This window comes from Homo sapiens, chromosome 1 (assembly GCF_000001405.40).
Source record: "Homo sapiens chromosome 1, GRCh38.p14 Primary Assembly".
NCBI classification, from domain to species: domain Eukaryota; kingdom Metazoa; phylum Chordata; class Mammalia; order Primates; family Hominidae; genus Homo; species Homo sapiens.
In genome coordinates, this window is record NC_000001.11 from 39,354,209 (window position 1) to 39,369,446 (window position 15,238).

Consider the following 15,238-nt stretch of genomic DNA (forward strand, 5'->3'; position numbering starts at 1 on the left):
TTTACATGCTCTTGGAACTTACTTGCTTCTCCATTGCATAAAGTAACGGAGGGGGCCCAGCTATTTGTTAATTTTTACTCATTCTTCAGATCTCAGCTTAGAGTTCACTTCCTCTAGGAAGCCCTTAATTCACCACCACTCACCAAAGTTAGGGTATATATTCCCCCATATGCTCTTCTTTCTTTTCTTTTATTTATTTATTTATTTATTTTTTGAGACAGAGTCTTGCTCTGTTACCCAGGCTGGAGTGCAGTGGCACGATCCCAGCTCACCGCAACCTCCATCTCCTGGAGTCAAGCAATTCTCATGCATCAGCCTCCCAAGTAGCTAAGATTACAGGCATGTGCCACCATGCCTAGCTAAGTTTTGTATTTTTAGTAGAGATGGGGTTTCACTATGTTGGCCAGACTGGTCTCAAACTCCTGACCTCGGGTGATTTGCTCACCTCCCAAAGTGTTGGGATTACAGGTGCCCAGCCTATAAGTTCCTCTTATACCCTTTCCTACTTTGTAGCATTTCTCATTCGATATTGTTTTGTTGTCTGTATTGCCCTCTAGATGCTAGGCTTGAAAACGCACACTGTTTCTTACAGGCTGCCTGTTCTGTAACAAAACAAAACAAAAAAGCAGAAGTCACTTCTTACTGTTTATTTCTACTCATTTATTTATTCATTTAGTAATTACTGAATAGCTGCCATATGCCAGGAATTAGAAATAAGCCAGTGAGCCAACCAAGTAAACCATCTTCAAGGGCATCAACTGGCATATACAGGCACATTCTATTGAATGATTGAAAGAAGATTACATATTTAGGACACTTACAACACATGGATCATATATTTTAGTGGTGACACCTTTATAGAAAAAATATTGGCTTAGCTGGAATACTTGTGTTCAGTGGCCTTTGTGGACCATTGTCATATTTTATATTAATAGGATTTCTGCCTCTTGCATGACGCTTTTCGAAGGTCCATTATACTGTGTCCCCCAAAGCCCTGGTAGTCTTATAAGAGGACAGAGCAAAAATGGTTCTGCTGTCATAGGGCTCCTCTGACACCTTTTGCTGGCAGCAGTCAACCTAATGAAGTGGTATCTCCATTCTAGGAAGGAAACTGCCTTATAGGTAGATGAGTTGGAAGGTGAGAATGAAGGACACCTAGGTGATATACAGACAAGGTTGTAGTACCGCTCCCACTTCACTATCTAATTGAGCAAGATATATTTGTCATTCCAGCTTTCTTTTTTTCTTCTGCTTTTTTTTTTTTTTTTTTTTTTTTTGAGACGGAGTCTCACTCTGTCACCAGGCTGGAGTGCAGTGGCACAATCTCGGCTCACTGCAACCTCTGCCTCCCGGGTTCAAGCCATTCTCCTCCTCAGCTTCCTGAGTAGCTGGGATTACAGGTGCACGCCACCACACCCAGCTAATTTTTGTATTCTTAGTAGAGACGGGGTTTCACCATGTTGGCCAGCATGGTCTCGATCTCTTGGCCTCGTGATCCACCCGCCTTGGCCTCCCAAAGTGCTGGGATTATAGGCGTGAGCCACTGCGCCCAGCTTTTTTTTATTTTTTAAAGACATGAGGCCTCACTTTGCCACCCAGGCTGAAGTGCAGTGGTACGATCATAGCTCACTGTAACAGGTGTGGACTCACCATGCCTCATTAATTTTTTTTTAAGAGACAGTCTTGCTATGTTGTTGCTCAGGCTGGTCTCAAAAACCTAGCTTCAGTGATACTCCTGCATCAGCCTCCTAGTCACTCAGCTTTCTTGAAATGATGTGGGAAGCTGAGGCTATCAGGTTGTTGTTGATACAGGCTAAAACTAGACGATGATCTGTAGTCCTTCTCTAAGTAGTGGCATAAACAGTATAGGTAGTAAGGAACACTGACAACTCCCACTGTCTTCTAGATTCAGGAAGAACATCCCAATATATGTTTCAAAACAAAAACTCACAGCTCTCCTCAAAGAACTCATATTCCATTGGAATAGAAAGAAGGTCTATGTATAAGCACATAGACACAGTACATACAAATAAAAAGTACAAATTACTTATTATTACCCAGAAATACAGTTTAATCTCTAATTATTGAATTAATTTTCCATGGCTTTTCCTAGTAGGGACAGTCTTCATGGACACATGAGTGACATATTTCACAGTTAAGAACTTGCATTTTTTTTTTTTTTGAGATGGAGTCTCAAGTCTGTTGCCAGGCTGGAGTGCAGTGGCAGGGTCTTGGCTCACTGCAATCTCTGCCTCCCAGGTTCAAGCAATTCTCCTGCCTCAGCCTCCCAAGTAGCTGGGATTACAGGCACTTGCCACCATGCCCAGCTAATTTTTGTATTTTCTGTAGAGACAGGGTTTCACCATATTGGCCAGGATGGTCTCAATCTCTTGACCTTGTGATCTGCCAGCCTCGGCCTCCCAAAGTACTGGGATTACAGACATGAGCCACCATGCCTGGCCAAACTTACAATTTTTATATTGTCACATGTATGATTTATTCAGCTACCCTTCCACTAATGTAGATGATTATTAGTTGTCCATTTGTACAGTTTAGCGAAGAGAGTCAGGTTTGAGTTGCAGTTCTGTTCGTTAACAAACTGCATGACCTTAGTCAAGATATATAACGTCTTTTTGGTATTCACTTACTCTTAATATGGGTATTATATTGTCTACCTACATTATAGGTCGTGCCACAAAGCAAATGAGATAATACATGTAAAATCTCTTTGAAAACCATAAAGTCCTATACGTGTCAGTTCAGAGGGGATTAGCATGTGGCATACTGTTTAGAGAGTGACTGATATTGGTGATTTCTGAGCAGTTGGAAAAGTGATCTATTGAGTAGAGGTAGAGACCTCTCCCTACTTCTAGCTTATAGGTAGATGGTCCTTGAAGATTATAAGTACAACTTAAGAGTCAGCATCTAAATTAAAGGGCTATACCTAAAACAAGGGGCTGAACTGAATAAAATGAAGTTAACAGGGAAAAATGTGAGATGCAGCAAAACTGAGAGAGGTGTATGACTTGACAGCAATGTGGGTGAAAAGACCAAGGCTGAATGTAAGCAGACCTCACATGGAGTATGAAGTCCAGTCTTGTATACCTCAAATTATTGTGGATTGCCTACTGATTGTCCTTTGTTTGGGGGGATTTTTTTTTACCAGGCCCGTCACCAAGAATTGCTGTCCCAGCAGCAAAATTTCATTCTGGCCACCCAGTCAGCTCAGGCCTTCTTGGATCAGCATGGCCACAATCTCACACCTGAGGAGCAACAGATGCTGCAACAGAAGCTGGGAGAGCTAAAGGAACAATACTCTACTTCCCTGGCCCAATCAGAGGCAGAACTGAAGCAGGTGCAGACACTTCAGGATGAGTTGCAGAAATTTCTGCAGGATCATAAAGAGTTTGAAAGCTGGTTGGAACGATCCGAGAAAGAGCTGGAGAACATGCATAAGGGAGGCAGCAGCCCCGAGACCCTTCCCTCCCTGCTAAAGCGGCAAGGAAGCTTCTCAGAGGATGTCATTTCCCACAAAGGAGACTTGAGATTTGTGACTATCTCAGGACAGAAAGTCTTGGACATGGAAAACAGTTTTAAGGAAGGCAAAGAACCATCAGAAATTGGAAACTTAGTAAAGGACAAGTTGAAGGATGCAACAGAAAGATACACTGCTCTCCACTCAAAGGTAAGGGGGCAGTTCCTGGCATCCTTGGTGAAACAATCATGGCAGCCTTCACACAATGTAGGTAGTGTCTGGGGCTCAGAATAAGAACTCCAGGACACAGTAGGAGAGCTGATTTATACTTGGACCATGGGCAGAAGGTCTTCACAAACAATGCACAAAATGTAAAATACATAGGTACTAGCCCAAAGGCCTGATAGCTAGCTAATACCTAATACCTAGCACTGGCAGGAGTATATCACACTGATGGTGAAGGTGGAAGTATTCCCCTTCCTGTATCCTGACCAGCAGACTTGGACTCCCAAGAGACATAGCACACAGGGGAAATTTAAACCAATTGCACAGTCTTTATTTCTGTCTTTATTTCACAGAGCATCTAGGGTGAATCCTTACCTTCCTTCCTATCTAAAGAACTTGCTCGCTCTTCTAAAGTTTAGAATCCAGTCAGCTCTTCTTACCTGTCTTATGCCTTCTGCCAACACTTCTAATCCCCAAGAAAGAATACTTTTTGCACTTCTTAACCCCTACCTTTGTCTGCAACCTTATGTTCATTTCTTTGGAAGCTTGTCATACATCTCATTAAATTTTCCTGGGAATGTAAGAAGGTCAAGGTGAATAGTATGGAGCAAACAATGGGGACCCACACTTAGAGATCATTGCTACCCATCTATCCATGGGTTCTGGCAATACCCTTATCTGAAGTTACAGTGAGTTGTCTGTAACAAAGCCAGGCCTCTTTCTTTGGGCAGCTGCTGCCTTTGGCCTGACCTTGCTTAAGTCTGCTTACCTTTCTTTCTCTGGCACAGTGTACACGATTAGGATCTCACCTGAATATGCTGTTAGGCCAGTATCATCAATTCCAAAACAGTGCTGACAGCCTGCAGGCCTGGATGCAGGCTTGTGAGGCCAACGTGGAGAAGCTCCTCTCAGATACTGTTGCCTCTGACCCTGGAGTTCTCCAGGAGCAGCTTGCAACAACAAAGGTAAGTCAGGACACAGGCTGTGTTGTGGTGTCAAGACCTTGTATTCCATGGCGTAAAGTACCCCAAAATAAAGCAAATGCTTACATAAAATAAAGGCAGTGGTTGGGATGCCTTGGACAAGATCTGAGTGCTAAACACTTGCTTCTAATATTTATGGCTATGGTTAAACTTACAATTATTCTGTAAAGCTGTTCAGTAGCTCCGGATTCCTAGAATCATCTTTGATTACTTAGATGTTTTTCTTTTGTTTTTTTCATGGACAAGCAGCAGTTGCAGGAGGAATTGGCTGAGCACCAAGTACCTGTGGAAAAACTCCAAAAAGTAGCTCGTGACATAATGGAAATTGAAGGGGAGCCAGCCCCAGACCACAGGCATGTTCAAGAAACTACAGGTATAAAGCAGCAACAGTATAATAGTACTCCCTTAATTCCTAGTATGTACCTCTATTCTGCAATATGTCACATTGTGTTGTGCAAATATCTGTGGTGCCAGGCTAGAGGCTGAGAATATAAACATGAATAGACATAGATTGTCATCAAAGAGCTTATCCTCTAATGAACTTTATTCTTGCACCATTGAAGGACCTTCACAATCTGGCTTCAGTCCCTTTTCCCCAGACATCTATCTTCTAGCCACATCTACTTTTCTTTCCCAAGTAAACCACTTACATTGTATTACCCCTGAAGTTTTTCCTATTGCTTAGCTGATAACATTTATTGAATGCTTACCAAGCGTGGTGAAATCTTGCCCATGCTTCAAGATGTAGCCAAGAGTATATCATGGTGACTATAGTTAATAACAATATATCGTATACAGGCCGGGCGTGGTGGCTCACATCTGTAATCCCAGCACTTTGGGAGGCCGAGGCGGGCAGATCACGAGGTCAGGAGATCGAGACCATCCTGGCCAAGAAGATGAAACCCCGTCTCTACTAAAAATACAAAACAAACAAACAAACAAAAAAATAGCCAGGCATGGTGGCAGGCGCCTGTAATCCCAGCTACTCTGGAGGCTGAGGCAGGAGAATGGCATCAACCTGGGAGGCGGAGCTTGCAGTGAGCTGAGATCGTGCCACTGCACTCCAGCCTGGGCGACACAGCAAGACTCCGTCTCAAAAAAAAAAAAAAAAAAAAAAAAAAATATATATATATATATATATATATATATATATATATATATACACACACACACACACACATATGTATATACACACATATATACACACACACACATATATATCGTATACTTGAAAATGGCTGTGAGAGTATATTTTAAGTGTTTTCACCACAAAAAAATGATAAGTATGTGAGGTAATGCATATGTTAAATAGCTTAGCTTAGCCATCCCACTCCTCAAAAGAAACGAAAGATAATTATTCTTCCTTCTGGGCTTCTCGAGGACAGTACTTCTAGTATTAATATACCACTTAAGATTTGATTTTTATCATTAATTGTGATGCATCTTCCTCTGCCTATGCTCTGTTTTAAAGTCTTAAGTTGTAGATGTCAGATAAGATACTTAAGTATCTTTAGTCCTCAGCATCTAGTACAATTTCTGGTTCTTTGTATGCAGTAAATAACTAATGCTTATTGAACTTGGCTCTGATACTAATGCATTTCAAACTTATTCCTTCTATTGGTCTTAATGTCAATTATTATTACAATTACTATGTTCAATGTAGGACTGGGCATGGTGGCTCATGCCTGTAATCCAGGCACTTTAGGAGGCTGAAGTAGGAAGATTGCTTAAGGCCAGGAGTTCAAGACCAGCTTGGGCAACATATTAAGACCACATCCATATAATAATAATAATAATAATAATTTTTATTATTTATTATTTAATAATATTAATAATAAAGTCTTTAAAAGCATAATACAAAAATTGTCTCCACTCTTTCTTTTCATGGCCTGATTTTTCAGATTCCATACTCAGCCACTTCCAAAGCCTCTCCTATAGCCTGGCTGAGCGATCTTCTCTGCTGCAGAAAGCAATTGCCCAATCTCAGAGTGTCCAGGAAAGCCTGGAGAGCCTGTTGCAGTCTATTGGGGAAGTTGAACAAAACCTGGAAGGGAAGCAGGTGTCATCACTCTCATCAGGAGTCATCCAGGAAGCCTTAGCCACAAATATGGTAAGATCTGTGTCCCAAGAGCTAGCATAGAGGGTATGTTTGCTATGTGCCATCATTACATAATGTTGAAAAAGTAACAAGAGGGAACCTAATATCTGTGAATCATCTAATAAGATTTAGAAATGATAACTAATCTATGTAAAGATATTTCTACCCAGTTGAGCTGGAATGAAAGTGGAGATAGCAAAGTCATGTGGTAGAAGGGGTGGAGAACTAAGGTGATGAGATGTGTGGTATTCTGGAGGCTCGGTTGCAGTCCTCCAGTCCCCCTTGTGAGATAGCATATAGTTATTAGTTTGTGGCTCAGATGTCCTGGAATAAGTGAACCAGGAGCTGACAGACGTGTTCTTCATGACAGAAATTGAAGCAGGACATTGCTCGGCAAAAGAGCAGCTTGGAGGCCACCCGTGAGATGGTGACCCGATTCATGGAGACAGCAGACAGTACTACAGCAGCAGTGCTGCAGGGCAAACTGGCAGAGGTGAGCCAGCGGTTCGAACAGCTCTGTCTACAGCAGCAAGAAAAGGAGAGCTCCCTAAAGAAGCTTCTACCCCAGGCAGAGATGTTTGAACACCTCTCTGGTAAGCTGCAGCAGTTCATGGAAAACAAAAGTCGGATGCTGGCCTCTGGAAATCAGCCAGATCAAGATATTACACATTTCTTCCAACAGATCCAGGTGAGGATATATCTGCCATGTTAGCAGAATAAAGGGAAGAGAAGGGCAGGGAGAGAACCAGCATTTGCTGAGCGCATACTACATCAGTCAGTATACTGGAAACTACCTGCATTATCTTTGGGAATTATTACAGTGATCCCGTAAACTAGGTATCATTTGTCCATTTTTTAAGCAACACAGTCAATATTTATTTTTCACTCTTATTACATGTTCAACCCAAATCAGCAGGGCCACTCAGTTCATCATAGTCACTCAAGGGATGCAGATTGATGGAGATTTCATCCTGATATAAGCTTTCATGATTACTGCCTCAGTGGTAAAAGGGCATATTATATTTATTTACATTTTATTAGTCAAAGCACTTTCCACAAAACCACCTATACCTTTCAAGAGGGTGAGGAAATGTAATCTCACCACTTACCTAGAAGGTGCAAAGCTAGAAATATTTGGTAAAAGTATTAACAGCTACCACAGATATATATCCAGAAGTAAAACTGCCAAGTCATAGTATATGCATATATTAATTTAATTCGACTCAGTAGTGGCCAATTTGAGCTCCAGAATGGCTGTACCAGCACACATTCCCACCTGTAGTACTTCAGCATTCCTGTATCTCTGCATTGCTGCCTTCGCTTTATCCAGCTTTCTAACTTTTTCCATATTAAAGTGGAATCTCATTGTTTGGTTTGGTTTGCTCTCCTTTTTGCTTTGAATGATTTCAAACTTACAGAAAAGCAGAAGAAATGGTCCATTACACACCAGCATACTCTTCACCTAGATTCACCAGTTGCTAATTGTTTTCCCTCTCTTATAAAAATATAAAAGAGAGTATCATTATGGGCTTCTATATTTGTTATTACCATTATTCTTTATGATACTTAACGTTTTCCCAAATGTGGTCGGTGGGAGCCTCTTCAAGCTGTCTCCTGTGGCTTTTTGACATGTCTTCCTCAGCATAAGAGCACTTTTGGAACTTAAGATATTTGTGGCACAATAATGTATTTCCTTGTCCCCTATCTGAAATCAGCTATTTATCCAAGGAGTCCCACTTTTAGTGGGGAATGATATTTAGAAACCAAATCTGGACACTAGATGAGCTACTGGAGTGTCACTACTTTTAGGTTCTTTTTAATAGATAGTGTTAGGAAATATATGTGTATGTTTCTTATATCATAAAATCATACTGATAGTCTAGTCTCAACGCAACACCATAGGAATCTTCCTCCTTTCCACATTTGTATCTTCCTTTCCTGTAGGGAGAACCCTAGTTCCCAGCAACTTTAATATATTTACTTATTTGTTTTATTCTACAATAAATATAAGATAGTTTTAGAATTACATTAGTATTTCTACCAATAACAAACCTGCTAAATAAAATTGAAGATTTCTTTGGATTTGTTTTTGTCCTTAGCCTATGACCCACTATGTACTGTGTTCAAAAATTACCTGAATTATTTTTTCTGTAATTTCTTATATAATTAGATTTGTTTCTATTTGTATTCAACTTTAGGACTTTATTTTTCTACCTTTGTTGATTAAACTTATTTTTAAATATGTAAAGCATTAACATAGGTCAAAAGTTAAAACTCTTCAAAAAGTTATACTCAAGGTATAGGAAGTGAATAAGGATATATTCTCATTGTCTTTCCTGTCTCTTCCATCCCATTTTCACCCATCCCCATAGTAACACATTTCAGGTTTATTTTTTTCTATTCCTTTTTACCAAAATGAACATACACACACATTCTTATTCTCCATTCTTCCTTACAAAAAAGAAGGGTATATTACGTAATCCTTTGCTTTTTTACTTAATATGTCTTGGAAATCACTTAATATGGATTCACAGAGATCTTTGTTTTTTAAACCATACTTTCATTGTGTAGAAGAGTTACAGTTTAATCAACAAGACTCTTTCTTTCTTTCTTTCTTTTTTTTTTTTTTTTGAGACAGAGTCTTACTCTGCGCTCTGTTGCCCAGGCTGAAGTGCAGTGGCACGATCTTGGCTCACTGTAACCTCAACCTCCACTTGGGTTCAAGTGATTCTCCTGCCTCAGCCTCCCAAGAAGCTGGGATTATAGGTGCCTGCCACGATGCCTGGGTAGTTTTTTTGTATTTTTAGTAGAGATGGGGTTTCACCATGTTGGCCAGGATCTCAAACTCCTGACCTCAAGTGATCTGCCCGCCTCGGCCTCCCAAAGTGCTGGGATTATAGGCATGAGCCACCACACCTGGCCAACAAGACTCATACGTGGTGGAAATTTGAATTGTTGTTTCCGAAATTGTGCTATTACTACTGAATAGCTGTGTGTATTTTTTCCCATAATATTGGAAGTGTATCCTCAGAATAAGTTCCTAGAGTGGAGTTGTTGCATTAAAGGGTAAATACATGTATAGTTTTGTTAGAAATAGCCAAATTCCCCTCCATTGAAATTTCACCATTTTGCATTCCCAGCAGCAGTGTATTAGAGTACCTGTTTCCCCTATAGCCTCACCAACAAAATTTATTATCAAGCTTTTAATTTTTTTCTGGTGTGATTGGTAAAACATGATATGTGAATGTGGTTTTAATTTTTATTTCTCTTATGAGCGAGGTTGAGTGTATTTTTACATTTAAGAGTCATTTATTTGTGAACTATCTGTTCATGTATTTTGTCATTTTTTGGTAAAGATTTTTGGTTTTCTCTCAATTTTTAAAGTTTTTTTTTTTTAGAGTTCTTATATATTAGAGAGATTAATTCTTTATCTGTGATATGTTAGAAATATTGTTTCCCAGATTGTGCTTTTGACTTATGGTGTTTTTTGCCATGTAAACGTGGAATTTTTTTTTTTTTTTGAGACGGAGTCTCGCTCTGTCGCCCAGGCTGGAGTGCAGTGGCGCGATCTCGGCTCACTGCAAGCTCTGCCTCCCGGGTTCACGCCATTCTCCTGCCTCAGCCTCCTGAGCAGCTGGGACTACAGGTGCCTGCCACCGCGCCTGGCTAATTTTTTGTATTTTTAGTAGAGACGGGGTTTCACCGTGTTAGCCAGGATGGTCTCGATCTCCTGACCTCGTGATCCGCCCGCCTCAGCCTCCCAAAGTGCTGGGATTACAGGCGTGAGCCACCGCGCCCGGCCGTAAATGTGGAATTTTTGTTCTACATAGAAGATTTTATGAGTATTTTATTAAATATGTATTTTTAGTCATAGTTTGAAAGATTTTTGTCACACCCAGGTTATGAAAAAATTTATTCATGCTTTATTCTAAAACTTGTTTTAATTTTTTTTTACATTTGAATCTTTTAACAATTTAAGCTTATTCTGAAGTATGAATCATGTTACCTTTTTCTGTTATGTCTATCTAGTTGTTCATAATAGAAGTTGAGTGCCCCAATCCAAAATCTGAAATGCTCCAAAATCTGAAACTTTTTTTTTCTTTTTGAGACGGAGTCTTGCTCTGTCACCGAGGCTGGAGTGCAGTGGCACGATCTCAGCTCACTGCAAGCTCTGCCTTCTGGGTCCATGCCATTCTCTGCCTCAACCTCCCAAGTAGCTGGGACTACAGGCGCCCGCCACCACGTCCAGCTAATTTTTTTGTATTTTTAGTAGAGATGGGGTTTCACCATGTTAGCCAGGATGGTCTCGATCTGCTGACCTCGTGATCCACCTGCCTCAGCCTCCCAAAGGCCTGGGATTACAGACATGAGCCACCACACCCAGCCCAAAATCTGAAACTTTTTGAGAGCTGACATGACACTCAAGAGGTCATGCTCAAAGGAAAGACTCATTGGAGCACTTCAGATTTCAGAGCTTCAGATTAGGGATGTTCAACTGCTAAGTATAATGCAAATATTCCAAAATCTGGAAGAGTCTGGAATTCAAAACACTTCTGGTCCCAAGCATAAAGGATATCCAACCTGTATCATTTATTTGAAAAGTCCATATTTTCCCCAGATTTAAGAAACCATCTTCATCATATACACAATTTTTATATGTCTTTGAGTCTATTTCTGGATTTTCTTTTTTTTCTTTTTTTTTTTGAGATGGGATCTTGTTCTGTCACCCAGGCTGGGGTGCAGTGGCATGATCTTGGCTCACTGCAACCTCTGCCTTCCAGGTTCAAGCGATTCTCCTGCCTCAGGCTCCCAAGTAGCTGGGATTACAGGGGCCTGCCACCACGCCTGGCTAATTTTTGTATTTTTAGCAGAGACGGGGTTTCACCATGTTGGCCAGGCTGGTCTCGAACTCCTGACCTCAAGTAATCCACCGACCTTGGCCTCCCAAAGTGCTGAGATTACAGGCATGAGCCACCTCACCTGGCCTATTTCTGGATTTTCTATTCTGTTTTGCTGGTGTTTCCATTCATGTACCAGAGCATACTATTTTAATTATAGAGGCTTTATGGTATATTTTAATGTGTGGTAGAGAGCTAGTCCTCCTCAATTTTTTTCTTTCAAAGTTTTTCATAGGTGTAGTTGCACATTTATTTTTCTATGTGAATTTAGGAATCACCTTCATTAGTTCTAGAGAAGTTAGCATTTTTATGTGGGTCACACTAAATGTATTCATTCACGCAAACACATATACATACATAAGCAAATACATACGCATGCACTTTTATGGATGTGTTTCCATCTAGTCAGATCTGCTTTTGTGTTTTTCAGGAGTGTTTTTGATTTTTTTGTTCTTTTTTGTTTTGAGATGGGGTCCTGCTCTGTTGCCCAGGCTGGAGTGCAGTGGCATGATCATAGCTCACTGCATCCTCAAACTCCTGGGCTCAAGTGATTCCCAGGAGTCTCAGCCTCCCCAGCAACTGGGATTACAAGCAAGAGCCACTGCACCCAATTTCAGAAGTGTTTTAAAATTTAGATTTTGTGTTTCTTGTTAGTTGATTACTAAGATTGAGCCTTTTGTGTTGCTATAGTAAGTTGAAGTTTTCATTATTGATTTTTGTGTGTTAATTTTATAGCCTGCTACCTTGTTTAACTACTTCGTTGTTTGATTTCGTTTTATTGTTGATTATCTTGGGTTTTACAAATATACTTTTTTTTTTTTTTTTGAGACAGAGACTTGCTCTGTTATCCAGGCTGGAGTGCTATGGCACAATCTCGGCTCACTGCAACCTCCGCCTCCTGGGTTCCAGCAATTTCCAGCTAATTTTTGTGTTTTTAGTAGAGACAGGGTTTCACCACATTGACCAGACTGGTCTTGAACTCCTGAACTCAAGTGATCCTCCTGCCTCGGCCTCCCAAAGTGCTAGGATTACAGGAATGAGCCACCATGCCTGGCCTTTTTTTTTTTTTTTTTTTTTGGAGGCGGAGTCTCACTCTGTTGCCCAGGCTGGAGTGCAGTGGCACAATCTTGGCTCACTGCAACCTCCTCCTCGCAAATTCAAGTGATTCTTCTGCCTTAGCCTCCCAAGCAGCTGGGACTACAGAGTGCGCCACCATGCCCAGCTAATTTTTGTATTTTTAGTAGAGACGGAGTTTCACCATGTTGGCCAGCCTGATCATGAACTCCTGACCTCAAGTGATGGGCCTGCCTTGGCCTTCCAAAATGCTAGGATTACAGACGTGAGCCACCGTGCCTGGCCATACAAATATACTTTCATGTGACCTACAAATACAGTTTTATCTCTTCTTTTCCAATTCTTACTCCACAGATTGTTTTCTCTTAATTGCATTGGCTGTTTTTTTTTTAATTATTAAATTAACTTTTTTTAAAAAATAGAGATGGAGTTTTGCCATGTTGCCCAGGCTGGTCTTGAACTCCTAGGCTTAAGTGATCCACCCACCTTGGCCCCGAAAAGTGCTGGGATTACAGGCGTGAGCCACTGGGCCTGGCTGATATCTTAAGTATAATGTTAAATAATAGTGGAGATAGTGTGTTTACCCCCATTTTATAGAAGAGACCATGAAGCTTAGAGTAGTTTAGTAGCTTAAGATCACAAGTTGGTAAGTGGCAAAGTGTGATTGAATTTCAGGTGAGGTGTATTTGACTCCTGAAACTTTCATTCTTTACGTCCTGTCATGGTACCTCCCAAGTCTTTGAACGTTTGTTTAGAGGAGACAAGACTGTTTTGTAATTCCTAGCCACTCTCCAGTGGATTGAAGTTGTCCTACATATTTATCAGATTTTTTAATTGGGCTTTTTAATACAAAAAATAATTAGCTGGGCATGGTGGCAGGAGACTGTAATCCCAGCTGCTCGAGATGCTGAGGCAGGAGAATCGCTTGAACCCAGGAGGCGGAAGTTGCAGTGAGCCAAGATACCGCCATTGTACTCCAGCCTGGATGACAGGAGTAAAACTCTGTCTCAAAAGGAAAAAAAAAAAAAAAAATGTTTGTTTGTTTTTTTTAAACTTTTCACTGAGTTGCATATTTATTGTTTTGATCTAGCATTTGACCTGGCAAGCATACCTCTTTCCTTATTCCTTTTTAGAGTATATTTATAAGGATTAGAGGATTTAATACATTTCCTTGTTTGCTTGACAGGAGCTCAATTTGGAAATGGAAGACCAACAGGAGAACCTAGATACTCTTGAGCACCTGGTCACTGAACTGAGCTCTTGTGGCTTTGCGCTGGACTTGTGCCAGCATCAGGACAGGGTACAGAATCTAAGAAAAGACTTCACAGAGCTACAGAAGACAGTTAAAGAGAGGTGAGTTATCACTTGTGTTGGTCAGCATTGGGGAACTATTTTTTCTTGTTATGGAGTGAAATGATCTTTTCTCTTTTCTTCCTTTACCAGAACAGATGGCATCTAAAATTCTACTACTGAGTTGTAGGAGGGTGAAAAGTGCCTTTTTTTAGGCAAAGCTACCTCATCTACTTGATGCTTAGTGGTTTTTCTTTTCTTTTTTTTTGAGACTGAGTATCACTCTGTCACCCAGGCTGGAGTGCAGTGGTGCCATCTTGGCTCACTACAACCTCCATCTCTTGGGTTCAAGCAATTCTTCTACCTCAGCTTCCTGAGTGGCTGGGATTACAGGCGCCCACCACCATGCTCAGCTAATTTTTGCATTTTTAGTAGAGACGGGGTTTCCCTACACTGGCCAGGCTGGTCTCGAACTCCTGACCTCAGGTGATCGACCTGCCTCCGCCTCCCAAAGTGCTGGGATTACAGGCATGAGCCACTGCACCCAGCCACTTAGTGGTTTTTCTAATAGTAACTAATAGAAAGTAGGGATGAGTTCCCTCTCTTTGTGATCAGAAGCCTAGGCCACTTGGACCAAACAGAACAAATTTGAGGCAGCAAGTAAGATTACAGAATAATTTTGAAAGAAGAGAAAAATTGGAAGAGACTTCCTAGACATAATTAAGGGTGATGTTGGCAGTCCCCTGGCTTTTTTTTTTTTTTTTTTTTAAAGATATGGGGTCTTGCTATGTTGACCAGGCTACTTGTGAACTCCTGGCCTCATCGATCCTACTGCCTTGGCCTCCCAAAGTGCTGGGATTACAGGTGTGAACCACTATGCCCAGACCCCCTGCTTGTTTTGACCACATTTAAGTTGCTATTTTAGAAGAGTATCTGGATTCTTCTTTCAAGGCAAACAAGGGAATATATGACAAGGCTGGCTGATTTTGGTCCCTGTTGAAAAGCCATGATTCCTCACTGGACAGCCTCACATAGATTTAAGAGCATGAACAAGACTTCTTATCTAAGTTTAGCGATAAATATGATCTTGATTTAGCAGATAACTGCCTTAGTGATTAGAAGAAAAGAGTTGCTCAAACCAACATTATTAGCAGCAGGTTATCTAATGGAGAGGATGGGGACAAAGGTCAAGAAA

At 40.9% G+C, this 15,238-nt stretch overlaps 1 protein-coding gene across 2 annotated transcripts in view, besides 1 other annotated feature; it reads left to right on the forward strand.

Moving 5' to 3' along the window:
* MACF1 (microtubule actin crosslinking factor 1) overlaps positions 1–15,238 on the forward strand; it is a 402,972-nt gene that overhangs the window by 270,042 nt on the left and 117,692 nt on the right. For both annotated transcript variants that reach the window (NM_012090.5, NM_001394062.1), the window contains 6 exons: positions 3,167–3,685; positions 4,489–4,665; positions 4,933–5,056; positions 6,585–6,793; positions 7,152–7,469; positions 13,940–14,106. In NM_012090.5, coding sequence (NP_036222.3) covers positions 3,167–3,685; positions 4,489–4,665; positions 4,933–5,056; positions 6,585–6,793; positions 7,152–7,469; positions 13,940–14,106 — 1,514 coding nt within the window. The remainder of the gene's footprint in view (positions 1–3,166; positions 3,686–4,488; positions 4,666–4,932; positions 5,057–6,584; positions 6,794–7,151; positions 7,470–13,939; positions 14,107–15,238) is intronic.
* Positions 4,143–5,342: an enhancer, noted in NCBI's record as "CDK7 strongly-dependent group 2 enhancer chr1:39824023-39825222 (GRCh37/hg19 assembly coordinates)". NCBI's record gives its function as "activates an origin of replication core promoter dependent on BRD2, BRD4, P300/CBP, MED14 and CDK7 cofactors, with strong dependence on CDK7, by STARR-seq in HCT116 cells {active_cell/tissue: HCT116}" and the evidence as "EXISTENCE:reporter gene assay evidence [ECO:0000049][PMID:35650434]".